Raw genomic sequence first — 15,906 nt, forward strand, 5'->3', positions numbered from 1 at the left:
GGCTTCTCTTTTGTAGTGAAAATGCTGCATATCAGAGGACAGCTGGCTTTGAGACCATCCACGCTACAGCTAAGACTCGAGGGGCTGCTTCACTCTGGATCTCCACGCATAGCTTTCGATTCTGTGCCCCTCTATAAACATATTGTTTGGAGCATAAAGCTAATAGGAAAACCAATTACTGTGGTCAGTTGCTGAAACATCTCTTTAGAGAATGATGCTGACTCAGTGGGCTAGCAGTTACAGTGCAATCAAAGATAGAGCCAAGGAGGGTGGGCGGCATTTGGCTCAGAATCAAAGTCAGCGTTGGGGATGGGTCACAGCTGCAGAGGCGTTTCTGGGGCACTGGAATAGACCGCTCAAAACCGTGGGAGTTGTGGGGGCAAGAGGGGACCAATGGACCAGGCAGGGAGCGGGCACGAAAGCCACCGCCAACAAATCACCAAGGCACCTGCTTTCTTCTTCTTTCTTCTTCTTTCTTCTTCTTCCTTCTTCTTTCTCTTCCTCTTCTTCTTTCTTCCTCTTCTTTTTTTTTTTTTCCTGAGACAGAGTCTCACTCTGTCGCCCAGGCTGGAGTACAGTGGCACAATCTTGGCTCACTGCAACCTCTGCCTCCCAGGTTCAAGTGATTCTCCTGCCTCAGCCTCCTGAGTAGCTGGGGTTACAGGCACCTGTTGCCACACCCGGCTACCTCTTCCACTTTTCACCAGTCAGCGAGCCACACCGCATCATTTGCCTGAGTGTCAGTGAGAAAGAGATCCATACCGACCATGTAGACTACAGCTGTCCATTGGCAGCCGCCCACAGCTCCATTTCGGCACAGTCCTCAATACTCACCATTTTCTTTCTTTCCGTGTGTGTGTGTGTGTGTGTGTGTGTATGTATGTCTGTCAGGGTCTCGCTCTGTTGCCCAGGCTGGAGTGCAGTGGTGTGATCATAGCTCACTGTAGCCTTGAACTCCTGGGCTCAAGCCACCCTCCCACCTCACCTCAGCCTCCCAAGTATCTGGGACTACAAGTGCATGTCACCACACCCAGCTGGCTTATTCTTTTGAAGTTCCTCTAACCATAGCCTTCAGTGGTTTGGGGTGGGGGTCAATGGGGCATGGATAGTGCCCTGTGAAAGAACTGCTGTTGAGCTCCTTCATTCCCTGAGCGGTGAGGGGAGGTGGCAGCTGAGGATGACACTCAGGCATGTAGTTTGGGAGACTGGCAGACGAGCAGGTTTTAGTGGGGCAGAGTCTAGTTTAGCTTTAAACAGATCGTGTGTGAGGTGACTAGGGGACATGCCCAGGAACAATGATACCTACAAGCCTGCAACTTGAGACAGGTCTGAGTTAGGTACAGTGATGGGGAGTCACTAGCAGTAAGGTTCTGGTTTTTAGAAAGGATGAAGTGGATCACAATGTTACCATGGCAACAGGCAGTTGAGCTCGTTTTGGGGATGGAGGGTGAGGCAGGGCAAGTCCGTGAGTTCCATTTGATGGCTACCTTCTGGGGAAGTGAGCTCTAATCTCGGCTTTGCCACTTGATTGAGCCACGTACCTTCACAGCCTGTAAAGTGTATGTGAGGCCAAATTGTAAGCAATGCAAAGACAAGGGATGACTATTGTTACTGACTTTGGACATATATAGTTCTATCTAACACCAAATGTACTAGAAGTGGGTAATACATATTAAGTATAAAAAATTAATTAAAAAATTAGCCGAGCATGGTGGTGTGAACCTGGAGTCCTAGCTACTCTGGAGGCTGAGGTGGGAGGATCGCTTGAGCCTGGGTGGCGGAGGTAGCAGTGAGCCGAGATTGTACCACTGCACTCCAGTCAGGGTGACTGAGACCCTGTATCCAAAATAAAATAAGATGCAAAATTAAATTAATTTTAAAAATTACATCCAGGTGCCATGGCTCATGCCTGTAATCTCAACACTTTGGGAGGCCAAGGTGGGAGGATCACTTGAGACTAGGAGTTCAAGACCAGCCTGGGCAACATAGGGAGATAGGGAGACACCTGTCCCTACCAAAAAAAAAAAAAAAAAGCTAAAACAAAAAAACAATTCGCCAGATGTGGTAGCATGCACCCATAGTCCCAGCTACTTGGGAGGCTGAGGTGGGAGGATCACTTGAACCCAAGAGTTGGAGGTTGTAGTGAGCCGTGATGGTACCACCGCACTCCAGCTTGGGTGACAGAACAAGACCCTATCTCTAAACAACAACAAAAATTACAAACAGGCCAGGTGTGGTAGCTCACGCTTGTAATCTCAACACTTTGGGAGGCCAAGGTGGGAGGATCCCTTGAGCCCAGGAGTTCAAGACCAGCCTGGCCAACATAGCTTCTCAGGAATGCTGGATTGCTTGGTCACAAGTAACCGGCACTGAAAATTCTGAAAAATAAGGCTGAGTCAGTGTTGGCTCCTAGCTGCTTGAAGTTCTTATCTAGGGAAAAGCTACTGCAGTAATTATTTTCAAGAAGCAGAAGGGAAAAAGGAAATGAATAATTAGGAGGAATTGAAGAGATGCAATTTTCTCTTTGCTCAAAGCTGGCGGATCAAGATGCCTCTTTACTGAGAGGATTTTCTTCCTGTTTAATTTGCTTTTCTACTCCTCCTGAGTGAGTAGAAAAGAGAAGTTATTAGGGGATGGGAAAAATAAACAGGGGAACAAGAGCGAAAAGAGGAAAAGAATGAAATCATGTTTCTATAGAAAAGGCAAGTTACTGCTATTCTATCAGAAAAATAAAATGGAAAGAAATCACCAAAATCAACATGTAAATTTTGAGGAATGGGTGAAGATAGATTCATAATCCTTTTGGGAACCCCAGTGTCACAAGGGAAGCGTGTCTGTGCCTGTGCCTCAGTGAGAGCCCAGTCTCCTAGGTCCCCAGAGTGTGGCCTTCTCCCTCTGTCTCCATGCACTTCTCCTAATCTGAGCGTAGGACCAGTTAGCAAACAATTGCAATCCACTCCTCTTTGGCTTAAAGCTCATAAGTAGTTCCCTTTCACTGCCTTCCCTGGCCAGGCACTGGCTGGGCACCTTCCATTTGTCTAAGTGCCAGCTCGAGCCTCCACAGCACGGAGGGCTTCCAGGCTGGCCTGCAGGAGTACTGAAGCACCCTGCATAGACTCTCTTTGTGGGAGACACTGGAGAAAGGGCTCCCTAAAGGAAAGAGAGCTGTTGAAGTTTGGTGCCAGGGCTCAGAGCTTCTGCGAAGCTGACCTAGGGGGTGCCTGGTACTGAAGACAGAGCACTCCATGCTCCCTATCAGGGCACTTAGACGTTGGGTTGTAACCGTCCCCTCCTAGCCTGTGAGCTCAAGTCCCTCACTGTGCTCACTGCTGTACCCCTGGCATGAAGCACAAAGCCTCAAAGAGTGGGTGCTGAACACGCATGGGCTGGACAAGTGGATGAATGGGCTGGGTGACAGAAGAGGCAGCATTCTAAGAGCTGCTGGGCTGGACAAGCGGATGAATGTGCTGGGTGACGGAAGAGGCAGCGTTCTAAGAGCCGCTGGTGTATCTAGAGTTTGTTCCTTCTGGTGGGTTCTTGGTCTCGGTGACTTCAAGAATGAAGCCATGAACCCTTCGCGGTGAGTGTTAAACCCTTAAAGGTGGTACAAACCCAGAATAAGCAGCAGCAAGATTTATTGTGAAGAGCAAAAGAACAAAGACTTCACAGCCTGAAACGGAACTGGAGCAGTTTGCAATGCTGGCTGCGGTGGCCAGCTTTTATTCCCTTATTTGTCCCCGCCCACATCCTGCTGATTGGTCCATTTTACAGAGTGCTGATTGGTCCATTTTACAGAGTGCTGATTGGTGCATTTACAATCTTCTAGCTAGACACAGAGCGCTGATTGGTGCGTTTTTACAGAGTGCTGATTGGTGCATTTACAATCCTTTAGCTAGACACAGAGCACTGATTGGTGCATTTACAATCCTCTACTAGACAGAAAAGTTCTCCAAGTACCCACTAGACCCAGGAAGTCCAGGTGGCTTCACCTCTCACTGGCACCTTTGTCACTCTACTGCCATCCTGAACCCAGCCTGAGCAGGGGAGGGCACAATGATATGGCCAATGGGAATGGAAAGAACAGCTCCTGGGGGGTCAGCAGGTTCCACAGTGTGGGAGGTGGCACCCATGTCCTCAACAGCACTGGATCTTTGGGTTTCTCCCATGGCTTCAGTTTTGTGAACCCCGGAGGCTTTGGGCAAGTATTACTGGCCTTGTCTTCCCATCCCACAAAAGTAAGCTGGGCAGAAGGGGAGGAAATAGCAAACCCTGGGCCAAAGCTGGGGTGCTGTTCATGAGGATGTGAGGGTCCCTGCCAGGGGATGACCAGCGACTGGAGAAGAATTTGATGAGGAAAGAAGGCCCACATTGACCAATAAGGAAATGCTGAGAGTTATTGTTCTGGGGAGCTTCAAATAAAGTCCAGTGGGGGCATGGCCTGGGAACACAGTTCAAACATAATAATATCTGATTTCTTTGTTTCTTTCTTTCTCTCTCTCTTTCTTTTCCTTCCTTCCTTCCTTCCTTCCTTCCTTCCTTCCTTCCTTCCTTCCTTCCTTCTTTTCTTCCTTCCCTCCTTCTCTTTCTTTTTTTTTTGAGACAGGGTATTGCTCTGTCTCTCCCAGGCTAGAGTGCAGTGGCATAACCACAACTCATTGAACTCATTTCAGCCCCCACCTCCTGGGCTCAATCAATCCTCCCACCTCAGCCTCCGAAGTAGCTGGGACTAGGGGCAAAAGCCACCATGTAGGGCTAATTTTTTATAGTTTTTGTAGATACAGGGTCTCTCTATGTTGCCCAGGCTGGTCTCAAACTCCTGACCTCAAGTGATCATCCTGCCTTGGCCTCCCAAAGTGTTGGAATTATAGGCATGAGCCACTGTGCCTGGCAATTATCTCTAATTTGTAAAACCACCTTGCAAGGTAGGTGCCCTTTGTCACCCTCAATTTGCTATGAGGAACTGAAGTCTGAGAAGCTCGGGTTGCTTGCCCTGGTCGCAAGGCTGGTGAGCGGGGAGCTGAGCCTCACGCACAGGCTGCCTCTCCGTGATGGAGGCAGCCATACCCATGGAGGTCACGCCCTGGAACAGAAACCCAGCCTTGCCCAGTCCATGACATTTGTTTTGTGAAAGCAGATGCTGTGGCATTGCCCTGGCATTGCATCCTTTGGGCAAAGTCTCAGTCAAAGGAGAGAACGTTGTAGTAAAGAAAGCAAGACAGAGCTTTCAACTCTCAGGCCTGGAAAAGCCTGCGCCAGGTTCCTCCTGTGCATAGAAACAGGGAGGCAAAGGAATGAGTTGAGTAATAAGCTCAAGGCTTCAGGTATTACAAACAGAAGCAATAAAATTGACGCTTGGCTGAGTTATCAGGAGGCAAAGAGGCAAAAATCCAATTTAAAAGATTATGCCAAATGGAATAAATCCAAAGTAATGGGATTGCTGAGCCTTAGCTGCCATAAAGGGAAACCATAGCATGTCTTGGTTTACAAAAAAAATAATACGGAGGATAAACACAAGCTGATTTAGTGTTTGGACTTAGTGTTTGGGGAAATCGTTACTATTTTTCCAGAGAGGGCTATAGTCAAGGACTGTGCCTGCAGTGCAATGCATTCAATAAATATTTACGGAGAGTCCTCAGGCCTCAAGTGTTCTCGATGCACCCGAGCCAGTGGCGTGCTGTGTGTGCGTCTGGGGGTGCTGTGTGTGCGTCTGGGGGTGCTGTGTGTGTGTGTCTGGGGTGCTGTGTGTGTCTGGGGGTGCTGTGTGTGCGTCTGGGGTGCTGTATGTGTCTGGGGGTGCTGTGTGTGCATCTGGGACCGGGCGCCACTCTTCTTCATATGGTGCTGCCTGAAACCCCACATCAGGTTTGTGGGATTTAGGAGGACTGGGGTGAACGAGATGTCTCTCATGGGAAGATGTGGATTTGGGAGGCACCACCCCAGCAGAGAGGTCTTTCGTGCCCTTAGAGGGGCCTTCAGCTGGAGGGAGGAAAGCTGGAGTCACTGCAAGAGAATCTCAAACACCATGACTCACGTTTGATTATACTAAAAGAGAAACTGCTTTGCAGGTCTGCTTAAAGATCTCATTGTGTTCCGCATAAGCAGTTTCGTTCTGAGGTGACCGAGATTTTGTAAGGCACAGTTCTTTTCAGTCATTAGTCTGCAGCACCCAGGATAGCCTCATCTCAGCTGTGGAACAGAGACCAAATGTTCAGACGCAGGCACCAGAAAGGGTGGTTCAGAAACGAGGTAAGAACAGCTCTGGCTCTGAGCGCTGTGAAGCACTCTGCTAAGCGCTTTATGCACTGTCTTTGTGTAGCTACTAAAAGTACCTCATCTGACAGATTCGAAGGCTGAAGCTCAGACAGATTCAGTAACTTGCCCAAGGCCACACAGCCAATGATTAGCAGAGCAGGGATAGCAGTACTTGACCCCTCTGCTGTCTGGTCTCTCCTAAAGGGGGAGACTTTAAAGCTAGATAATCGGGGGAACAATTCAGCGAAACAAGTAGGGGTTTGTGCTAGTAAAGGCCACATCCAATTCTGGAGTTTTCTTCTCCTTTGTTTTCTGCTTATTCAGAGAAGAAGATAGTACAGACCTGACTGCAATTTCCCCACGCTCAAACAGTGTCTGTTACACACAACAAAAGCCTCAGTCTATGCAGATCAGGATCACTGACAGAGAATGTCCAGATGTGTGACAAGACAGAGACACAACCATAAAAGTGACATAGTGTCTCAGTAATGGTTTATATAAGAAGCACAGAGGATATCATGTACAAAGAGGGATTTCTATTTGTCTCTTAAAACAAAAAAATTAGTAGTCCAGAGGAAGGAGACTCCCATGCCCTGTGACCCTGGTTGATAAAAAGAGCCGGTTGAATCAAGGTGCATGGGCAGATCTTGGTCCTGCTCAGAGCAGCCCTCCAGGCTGCTGCGCCCCACAGCCAGGCAAGCATTCTGCCCACTCACTGCTGCCGTCTCCCCGGCACCAGAAAGAACCAGCACAAAGAACTTTCCAACTTTTTGAGGATGGGCAGATAGGGAAAAGGAGTATCCCTTATGCTCTCCACTCCTTTTCCCTAACATCCTCATATCACTCTCCTCGGAGTTGTCACCATGAAATTCATTCATTCATTCCTTCATGCTTTGATTTGTTCCTTCCTGCATCCAGCCCCTGTCTATTCATGACTCAACATTCATGCAGCATTTAGTCTGTCAGATGCCATGCTCAGCCCTAGAGTTATAAAAATGAATAAAATGCAATGAGAGAGCATCTTACACCAGTCAGAATGGCTATTATTAAAAAGTAAAAAAACAACAGATGTTGGTGAAGATGTGGAGAAAGGGAACCCTGCTGGTGGGAACGTAAATTAGTTCATTCACTGTGGAAAACAGTATGGCAATTGCTCAAAGAACTAAAAATAGAGCTACCGTTCCACCCAGCAGTCCCACTACCGGGCATCTGCCCAAAGGAAAATAACTCATTATATCAAAAACATATCTGCACTCATATGTTTATTCCAGCACTATTCACAATAGCAAAGATAGGGAATCAACCTAAGTGTTCATCAACGGGGCATTATTTTAAAAATGTGGTATATATACATCATGGAATGCTACTTGCCCTTAAAAAAATAAAATTAAGGCTGGGCACAGTGGCTCACACCTGTAATCCCAGCACTTTGGGAGGCTGAGGCAGGAGGATCACTTGAGGTCAGGAGTTCCAGACCAGCCTGGCCAACATGGTGGAACCCCGTCTCTATTAAAAGTACAAAAATTAGCCGGGCATGGTGGGCGCCTGTAATCCCAGCTACTTCGGAGGCTGAGGCAGGTGAATCGCATGAACCTGGGAGGTGGAGGTTGCAGTGAGCCGAGATCACACCACTGCACTCCAGCCAGGGCAACAGAGTGAGACTTTGTCTCAGAATAAATAAATAAATAAATAAATAAATAAATAAATAAATAAATAAATAAATAAATAAAATAATGTCTTTTGTAGCAACAGTGATGGAACTGGAGGCCATTATCCTAAGTGAAATGACTCAGAAAGTTAAATACTGCATATTGTCACTTACAAGTGGGAGCTATACAATGGATACCTATGGACAAGCAGAGTGGAAAAATAGACAGGAAATGCCAAAAGGTGGGGAAGTGGGAGTGGGGTGAGGGTTGAAAAAATTACCTATTGAGTACAGTGTTCACTGTTCGGGTGATGGGTGCACTCAAAGCCCAGACTTCACCACAGCGAACTATGTGCCTGTAAGAAGCCTGCACTTGTATCCCCTAAATATTTACAAATGAAAATTTAAAACTGAATAAAACACAATCCCAGTCCTCAAGCTACTAATTGTCTAGAAATGAGATTGACGCATTAAAGGGTCTATGGAGGCTCCCTGCCTAGGGGCTGGGCTGGGCTGGCAGGGCCCTGGGAGGACTTCAGGGAAGAGAAACTTCAGCTGGATCTAAAAGGGAAATGGGAGCTGCCCCAGGTGGAGGACTGCAGGGCAGGAAGGCAGTTTTCAGTCTGAGGGAGCAGCCAGTGTAAACTGCACAGACAAGAAATCTCAGGCCCTTGGGTGGTCCAGTAATCCTCTGGCAACCCCGTGCTTCCAGATCGCCCCACTGCTGATCAAGCCAAAATCTACCATGGGATTATTCTTCTTCCAGACCGGTTCCCACCATGTCACTCTTCTGTTCCAACCTTTCGTGGCTTGAGATAAAAACCCCAATGTTTTGATTGGTGCCCAGGCACTGTGCAACCTGATCCCCACCTACTGCTGGGCAGATTTCTGCTACTACCCTTTAACCAGCACAAGCCTCTGAAAACTCTCAGCCAGGGATTGGAAACTGAAAGCCTCGGAACTCCAGGCGCTGGAAAGGTGGGAGGTGCAGAGTGGATGACAGCAGGACACATATGACAGCAGACTGCTGAGCTGCTCTGTGTGAGGACGCAGGGCTGTCCTGGAGCCTGTCCTAGGTTTGGTCCTGCTCCCAGGCCTTTGTCCAGCGCGCACCTGACATGGCCTCCTCTCCTATCCATTTCCTTTCCTCTCTTCCACATTTGCCTCCCATGGAGACTTCCTAAAATACTTCTGGAAACAAACGCTCTCCTCCTTTCACACTAAAAAACAAATCTGTCTAAAACCAGGTTTATCTTCCTTTTTGAAACTAGCTCCTTCTCGGTTTTTCTGTCTCTGGGCATGGTCCTGCTATTCTTCCAGTCACTGAGGTCTAAAAACACACATTCCTCCTGTCTTGCCATCACCCTCAAACCCTGTATGTGCAAAGCATAAAACTGCAGGCCATAGTAGTTGGAAGGGACTTTGGATATTGTCTAATTTACTGGCCACAAATCCAGGCATCTCCTTTAGAGCAACCTTTATAGCAATCAGATCTCTGACCAATGATCTTCCAGATTATTTTTCATTCTTCTCTAATTGCTTAAAAATTATTTATATTGAATGAAAATCTGCCTCCCTGGGCCCCTTTTGAAGTCTTCCTCTCCAGCCACACAGAGTGAGTCTCATTTCTCTTCTAAACACATTTGTCATGGGATTCTTCACCTTCCTCCGCTTAAACATCCTTTCAGTATTTTTTTAAATTTTTTTAATTTTTTTTTAATTTTAATTTTTTTTTGAGAAGGATTCTCGCTCTGTCACCCAGGCTGGAGTGCAGTGGTGCCATCTCAGCTCACTGCAAGCCCCGCCTCCTGGGTTCAAGCAATTCTCCTGCCTCAGCCTCCTGAGTAGCTGGGACTACAGGTGCCCGCCACCACGCCCCGCTAATTTTTTTTTTTTTTTGGTATTTTTAGTAGAGACGGGGTTTCACCATGTTAGCCAGGATGGTCTCAATCTCCTGACCTCGTGATCTGCCTGCTTTGGCCTCCCAACGTGCTGGGATTACAGGCATGAGCCACCACACCCAGCCCCCTTTCAGTATTTTTTAGGTGACTTTCCCATGACTATCTGGTTACCTCCTTTAACTCATCACGGTTCCTAATATGTAAACTGGGATTCAATTACATTCTGCTCAAACGACATTTCTTGGGTCTACTATGAGACAAGCAGCAGGTCAAGGTAATTCTGGGCATGAATTCGAGAGTGAGACTGACTGGGGCCAGATCCTGCCCCTACTGCCTACTGGCTAGACAATGTTGACATTCGGTGTCTTCCTTCAAGGCTGTGGGCAGTAAAAGGCTGAGAACAGAGTAACATCCAGTAAACATTCAATAGATGATTGTTCTTTTTCTTTTTGCACTTAAAAATATGCAACATGAAAAAGTGCTAATGATTGAAACTGAGTGACGCATATTTGTGGGTTTATCAAACTTAAAAACTTTATGTATGTTCGAAATTTTCTGTAATAAAATTAAAATTTTAAATGTCATATTAATTAGGTGAGATATACCTATTTAATATCTGGGGATATTATAGCAGCTGGGATACAAAAATAGTAAAAAAGTTCCTGCCAATACTAACCTCTGAGTAAATAGGGGAGATATACATGTAAACCAAGAGTTTCAATGCAGCATTAGAAATGCAATGCAGGCTGGGCATGGTGGCTTATGCCTGTAATCCCAGCACTTTGGGTGGCTGAGGCAGGAGGATCACCTGAGGCCAGGAGTTTGAAACTGGCCTGGGTAACAGAGTGAGGCTTTGTAAAAAGCAAGGAAGGAAGGAAAAGAAAGAAAGAAGGAAGGAAGGAGGGAGGGAGGGAGGAAGGGAAAGAAGGGAGGAAGGAAGGAAGGAAGGAGGGAGGGAGGGAGGGAGGGGAGGGGAGGGAAGGGAAAGGACAGGACAGGGAAGGAAGGGAAGGGAAGGGAAGGGAGGGGAGGGGAGGGGAAGGGAAGGGAAGGGAAGGGAAGGGAAGGGAAAGGAAAAAGGAAAGGAAAGGAAAGGAAAGGAAAGAAAAGAAAAGGAAAGGAAGGGAAAGGAAAGAAGAAATAGAGAAGATGGGCCCGGTGCAGTGGCTCATGCCTGTAATCCAGCACTTTGGGAGGCTGAGGTGGGCGGATCACGAGGTCAGGAGATTGAGACCATCCTGGCTAACACGATGAAACCCCATCTCTAATAAAAATACAAAAAATTAGCCGGGCGTGGTGGCGGGCACCTGTAATCCCAGCTACTCAGGAGGCTGAGGCAGGAGAATAGCGTGAACCCGGAAGGCGGAGCTTGCAGCGAGCCGAGATCACGCCACTGCACTCCAGCTTGGGCGACAGAGTGAGACTCCGTCTCAAAAAACAAACAAACAAACAAAACAAAAAGAAAGAGAGAGAAGAATGAAGGAAGGAAGGAAAGGAAGGAGGAAATGTGGAGATGCATCCAAGCAATCCAGGTAGCTCAGCAGATGAATGCTACAGTGAGTGGGGCTGGGGGTGGAACCACAGGTGTCTTTTGTTTTGGACGTTACCTTCCACCTCTTGCTAGGAGTGCATAGCTAATTGAATAGCCTGAATTGACTTGTGCCCATCTGGAAAGCCCAATTTGGGGTTTTTCACACATAATAATTTCTTGGGCTCTGGAGTCAGGGTGTCTGGATTCAAATCCCTTACTTCCAATGACATAACCTCTTTGAGCCTCAGACTTCTTATCTCTGTTGGGGCCAATAACAGCACCTACCTTGTGGAATTACGAAATTAAGATATGGAGTTGAGCAGAGCATTTGGCATTGTGCTGGGCAAGTTGTTAAGTGCTCAAATGTTGGTTGTTTCTTACTTCTTCACTCCGACTCCTACATTATTATTACAGGTAACTCTTCTTCTATTCTGGAGTTTGTACGCAATCATCACCCCTCTTTAACCCCCACTTCCAGCAAGCACATTCCTGCAAGCCTTTCTTCTGATGGGAACTAGAAAGTCTGATTTGACAAGCTTTCCATTCCTTCTGCTACCTCGTTCCCTTGGGGAGGCTCCAAGTGACTGAGGGGCCTTTGGGCTGGAGGAGACAGTGGAACATAGGACAATGGGAGGGGGTTAAAATAACTCATGCTCTTGAAAAGAAAAGGTAAAGTCAGGCCTTGGGTAATGTGTAAGAGGGAGATGTTTAAAAATGACCCTTCCCTCTAGGGAAAGAGAAGAAAGACAGAAACTCCAGGCTCCACTTCTGCCGGTTTAGGGCCAGGCTCTGCTTTTTTGAGACTACAGCTCCACCTCGTGGCATCACCCGCACGGGTGTCTGTCTTGCTGTAGCCCACACTATCACTGTCTTCTTATAAACAAAAATTTGTCCATAATTTAAAAACTGAATGGAATATCTAACTTATTTTCTAGGTCTGGAATGGTGGCTCATGCCTGTAATCCCAGCACTTTCAGAAGCTGAGGTAGGAGGATTGCTTGAGCCCAGGAGTTGGAGACCAGCCTGGGCAACGTTGCAAAACTCCCATCCCTACAAAACAATTTTTAAAAATCTGCTGGGCATGGTGGTGCACACCTGTGGTCCTGGCTGCTCTGGAGGCTGGAGGATCGCTTGAGCCCAGGAGATTGAGGCTGCAGTGAGCTGTGATCATGCCACTGCACTCCAGCCTGGGAATGAGTGGCAGCCTGGCAGAGTGAGACTCTGTCTCTGAAAATAATAATGATAAAAATTGGCCGGCCACGGTGGCTCACGCCTGTAATCCCAGCACTTTGGAAGGCTGAGGCAGGTGGATCACTTGAGGCCAGGAGTTGGATACCAGCCTGGCCAACATGGTGAAACCCTCTCTCTACTAAAAATACAAAAATTAGCCAGGCGTGGTGGCACACACATGTAATCCCAGCTACTCGGGAGGTTGGGGCAGGAGAATCACTGAAGCAAACCTAAGAGGCGGAGGTTGCAGTGAGCCAAGATCTCACCACTGCACTCCAGCCTAGGCAACAGAGACCCCGTCTCAAAATAAATAAGTAAATAAATAAATAAATAAAAATAATCATAATAATTTACTTTCTCTATCATAAAACACTGGAAACATAATGTTCATTCTTGTCCTAATGAGATTTTCATCTTGGGAAAACATTCTTTTCTGCAGGGGAAGATACTGTTTTGAAATTGCATTTCAGTTACTTACTTACACATCTGGTACTCCCTCCTATTGTATGGAAGTGCCAGTTTCTCTCATAAAAAATACCTCATGTTCTAGAATGATACCTGCACAGGTAAGATGCTCAACTCATGTCTTTCCTCCTCTTCCTGCAGACACACAGCAGGGTGTCCCATTCAAACCTAACCTTGTTCTTGCCTCAGGGGTCCTCCTTGGAATGCTCACTCTGCACCCAAGCTGGCTTTTCAGAGTCATTCAGAGCCACTCTAAGGGATCCCTTTTCACTGGGCCCTCTCAACTATAAAATCATCACCAGACATTTCATCTCCCTTGTAACAGCTACACTCATCAGTGTAGCTGATTTCTCGTCTCCTTATTTCTCATCTGCCTCTCCCAGCTACCATGCATGCATCATTAACATTCCATGTTTGTTCTCTGCTTTCTTGGCAACAAATAGTGCCTGCACCTCGGAGGCACTCAGTACTTATTTGTTGAATGAATCAACTAATTCCATCTTTAAGAACTGGGTTCCGGCCAGGCGCAGTGGCTCACTCCTATAACCCCAGCACTTTGGGAAGCTGAGGCGGGTGGATCACCGGAGGTCAGGAGTTCGAGACCAGACTGGGCAACAGAGTGAAACCCCATCTGTACTAAAAATACGAAAATTATCTGGACTTGGTGACGGGCACCTGTAGTCCCAGCTACTTGGGAGACTGAGGCAGGAGAATCGCTTGAACCCAGGAGACGGAAGTTGCAGTGAGCCGAAATCATGCTACTGCACTCCAGCCTGGGCGACTGAGACCGTGTCAAAAAAAAAAAAAAAAAAAAAAGAAGAAGAAGAACTGGGTTCCTCTGCCAGCACAGCTGCCCATCCCATCGTGTGCTGGACCAGGGACCAGGGAATGAGAGGAATGACAAAGATGCCTGTGTCCCCCTTTAAGCCGTTATTTTGCAGGAAGCAGTGAGATGGTTGAACATATAGATTGGCATGTTTTCGAGGTGCTCACTGACTTTATTATTTGGCTCACTGAGCAGCTGTCCAATGAGGCTGGGTTTAGATTGTTTTGGGAAGAGATTCATATCCTTCTCCAATTACCTTTTCCAAGTTAGTCAGCCATTGCTGGTCGGTTCCCTCCACTATGAAGTTGTGTGTGTGTTTGTGTGCTCGCACCCTGCCCCCATAACCCAGGTGCGGGCTGAGGAGAGGAAGCATGTTTTATTTATTATTTTTATTTATTTATTTCTGAAATTCAGTTTTTTTTTTTTTGAGAGGGAGTCTCGCTCTATCACCCAGGCTGGAGTGCAGTGGTGCGAACTCGGCTCACTGCAACCTCCGCCTCTGGGTTCAAGTGATTCTCCTGCCTGAGCTTCTGGGACTACAGGCACCCGCCACCACGCCCAACTAATTTTTGTATTTCTAGTAGAGACAGGGTTTCACCGTGTTGGCCAGGCTGGTCTTGAACTCCCGACCTCAAGTGATCCGCCCTCCTCGGCCTCTCAAAGTGCTGGGATTACAGGTGTGAGCCATCTCGTCCGGCCTCTGTCGTGTGTGTGTGTGTGTGTGTGTGTGTGTGTGTGTGTGTGTGTGTGTGTGTGTGTGTAGAGAAGGGGTCTTGCTATGTTACCCAGGCTGGAGTGCAGTGGCCCGATCATAGCTTCCTGCAACCTCGATCAACCTCGATCTCCTGGGCTCAAGCGACCCTAGAGGAAGGGCGTTTCAGTATGGGCACTTCTTAGGAAATCTTCGCTGCTTTGGAGACTAAAAGAGCCCAAAGGCAGGTAGGTGAGCCGCGGATACAAGCCTCCCTGTCTCCCTGTTGTTGCATACAGGTCTCACAGGAAACTAAGTGAGGAGTAGGGAGGGCAGTGGGTTAGGAACAGCGATGGCCAGCAGATGGCGCCAGGCCCCAAGGCATGACCCGCTGGCCGCAGGCGCGCCTAGGAGTGGCCGCGAAGCTAGTCCCCAAACAAAGCTGGAGCCAATGCGCTCTCTGGGGTCCTTCACATCCTGCTACTCAACGACCTGAAGGTAATCAGCTACTTCCTGGCTCTGGGGCTTCACCTTTTAATGAGCCTGGTTAGCCGGTTTTGTTTTCTTTTGGGGGACGTGCGTGTGGTTTGTGACCCCTTTTTCCGTTGGCTCTCAGAGTCCAGAGCTCCCCGGGGTCCGCCCTGACCCGTGGCTCCGCCTCGCCTCGCTCCCGCGCCCAGAGCGGCGCTCACAGGTCGGTCGCTGCCTGCACAGAGGTCTGTCCTGGACCTCTTAGGTTGGACTGTCCCCTCTCTCCCTGTCGCCGCTGCTGTTTGGGGACTTGGACGCCCCTCTGCAGAGGCGGGGGGCCTTGCCTCCGGCCCCATCTGACATCTTCCTTGAAGAATCGCTGCCTCACCTAGATGTCCTTTGGGTGGCGCAGTTCGTTGGCCTTCTAGGAAGGCTGGTTGCCAAGAGCAGGGCTTTTGCTCAGGGCCCCGGTGGCTGACGATTGTGTCCTGCGTGGGATAATCGAAAGTGTGCACAAGTCACTCACTGATCAGACGTCCCAGGGAGACCGAGGGGTGGGTGCAGCTTGATGGAACCTCTTCTCCAGGCCAGCAGAGGGAGGGAAGGCAGGCCTGCCCCACCACGCCTGTCCCCAAGAACCCCGTCTTAAGCCAGCTCATAAATCTCCCATCACTCCTTCCGTGTGTCCTGGCTTCCCTCCTCAGCTCGGAGCAGTGGACATTTCCACCTGCAAGGTGAACTGTGCCCTACTGTGCCAACCGACAGGGATCAGGGGAAGGTGGACAGAGGGGCTGCACCTCTGTCCTTTACCCCCGCCATCCCCCACCAACCCCAGGTCAGATCTCCATTCCCACAATAAACTGTACCTAGCGGGGTGCAGGTGTGGTTTAA

The 15,906-nt window shown here is 48.3% G+C and overlaps 2 annotated features.

The window, feature by feature from the left end:
- Nucleotides 5,920-5,989: an enhancer, noted in NCBI's record as "active region_7502". NCBI's record gives its function as "activates an Ori minimal core promoter by ATAC-STARR-seq in GM12878 lymphoblastoid cells {active_cell/tissue: GM12878}" and the evidence as "EXISTENCE:reporter gene assay evidence [ECO:0000049][PMID:35858748]".
- Nucleotides 15,107-15,608: an enhancer, noted in NCBI's record as "H3K4me1 hESC enhancer chr13:27936491-27936992 (GRCh37/hg19 assembly coordinates)". NCBI's record gives its function as "activates a minimal SCP1, AML or CMV promoter by ChIP-STARR-seq in naive H9 embryonic stem cells {active_cell/tissue: H9 hESC(naive)}" and the evidence as "EXISTENCE:reporter gene assay evidence [ECO:0000049][PMID:30033119]".

This window comes from Homo sapiens, chromosome 13, assembly GCF_000001405.40.
Source record: "Homo sapiens chromosome 13, GRCh38.p14 Primary Assembly".
In the NCBI taxonomy this organism is placed as follows: Eukaryota; Metazoa; Chordata; class Mammalia; order Primates; family Hominidae; genus Homo; species Homo sapiens.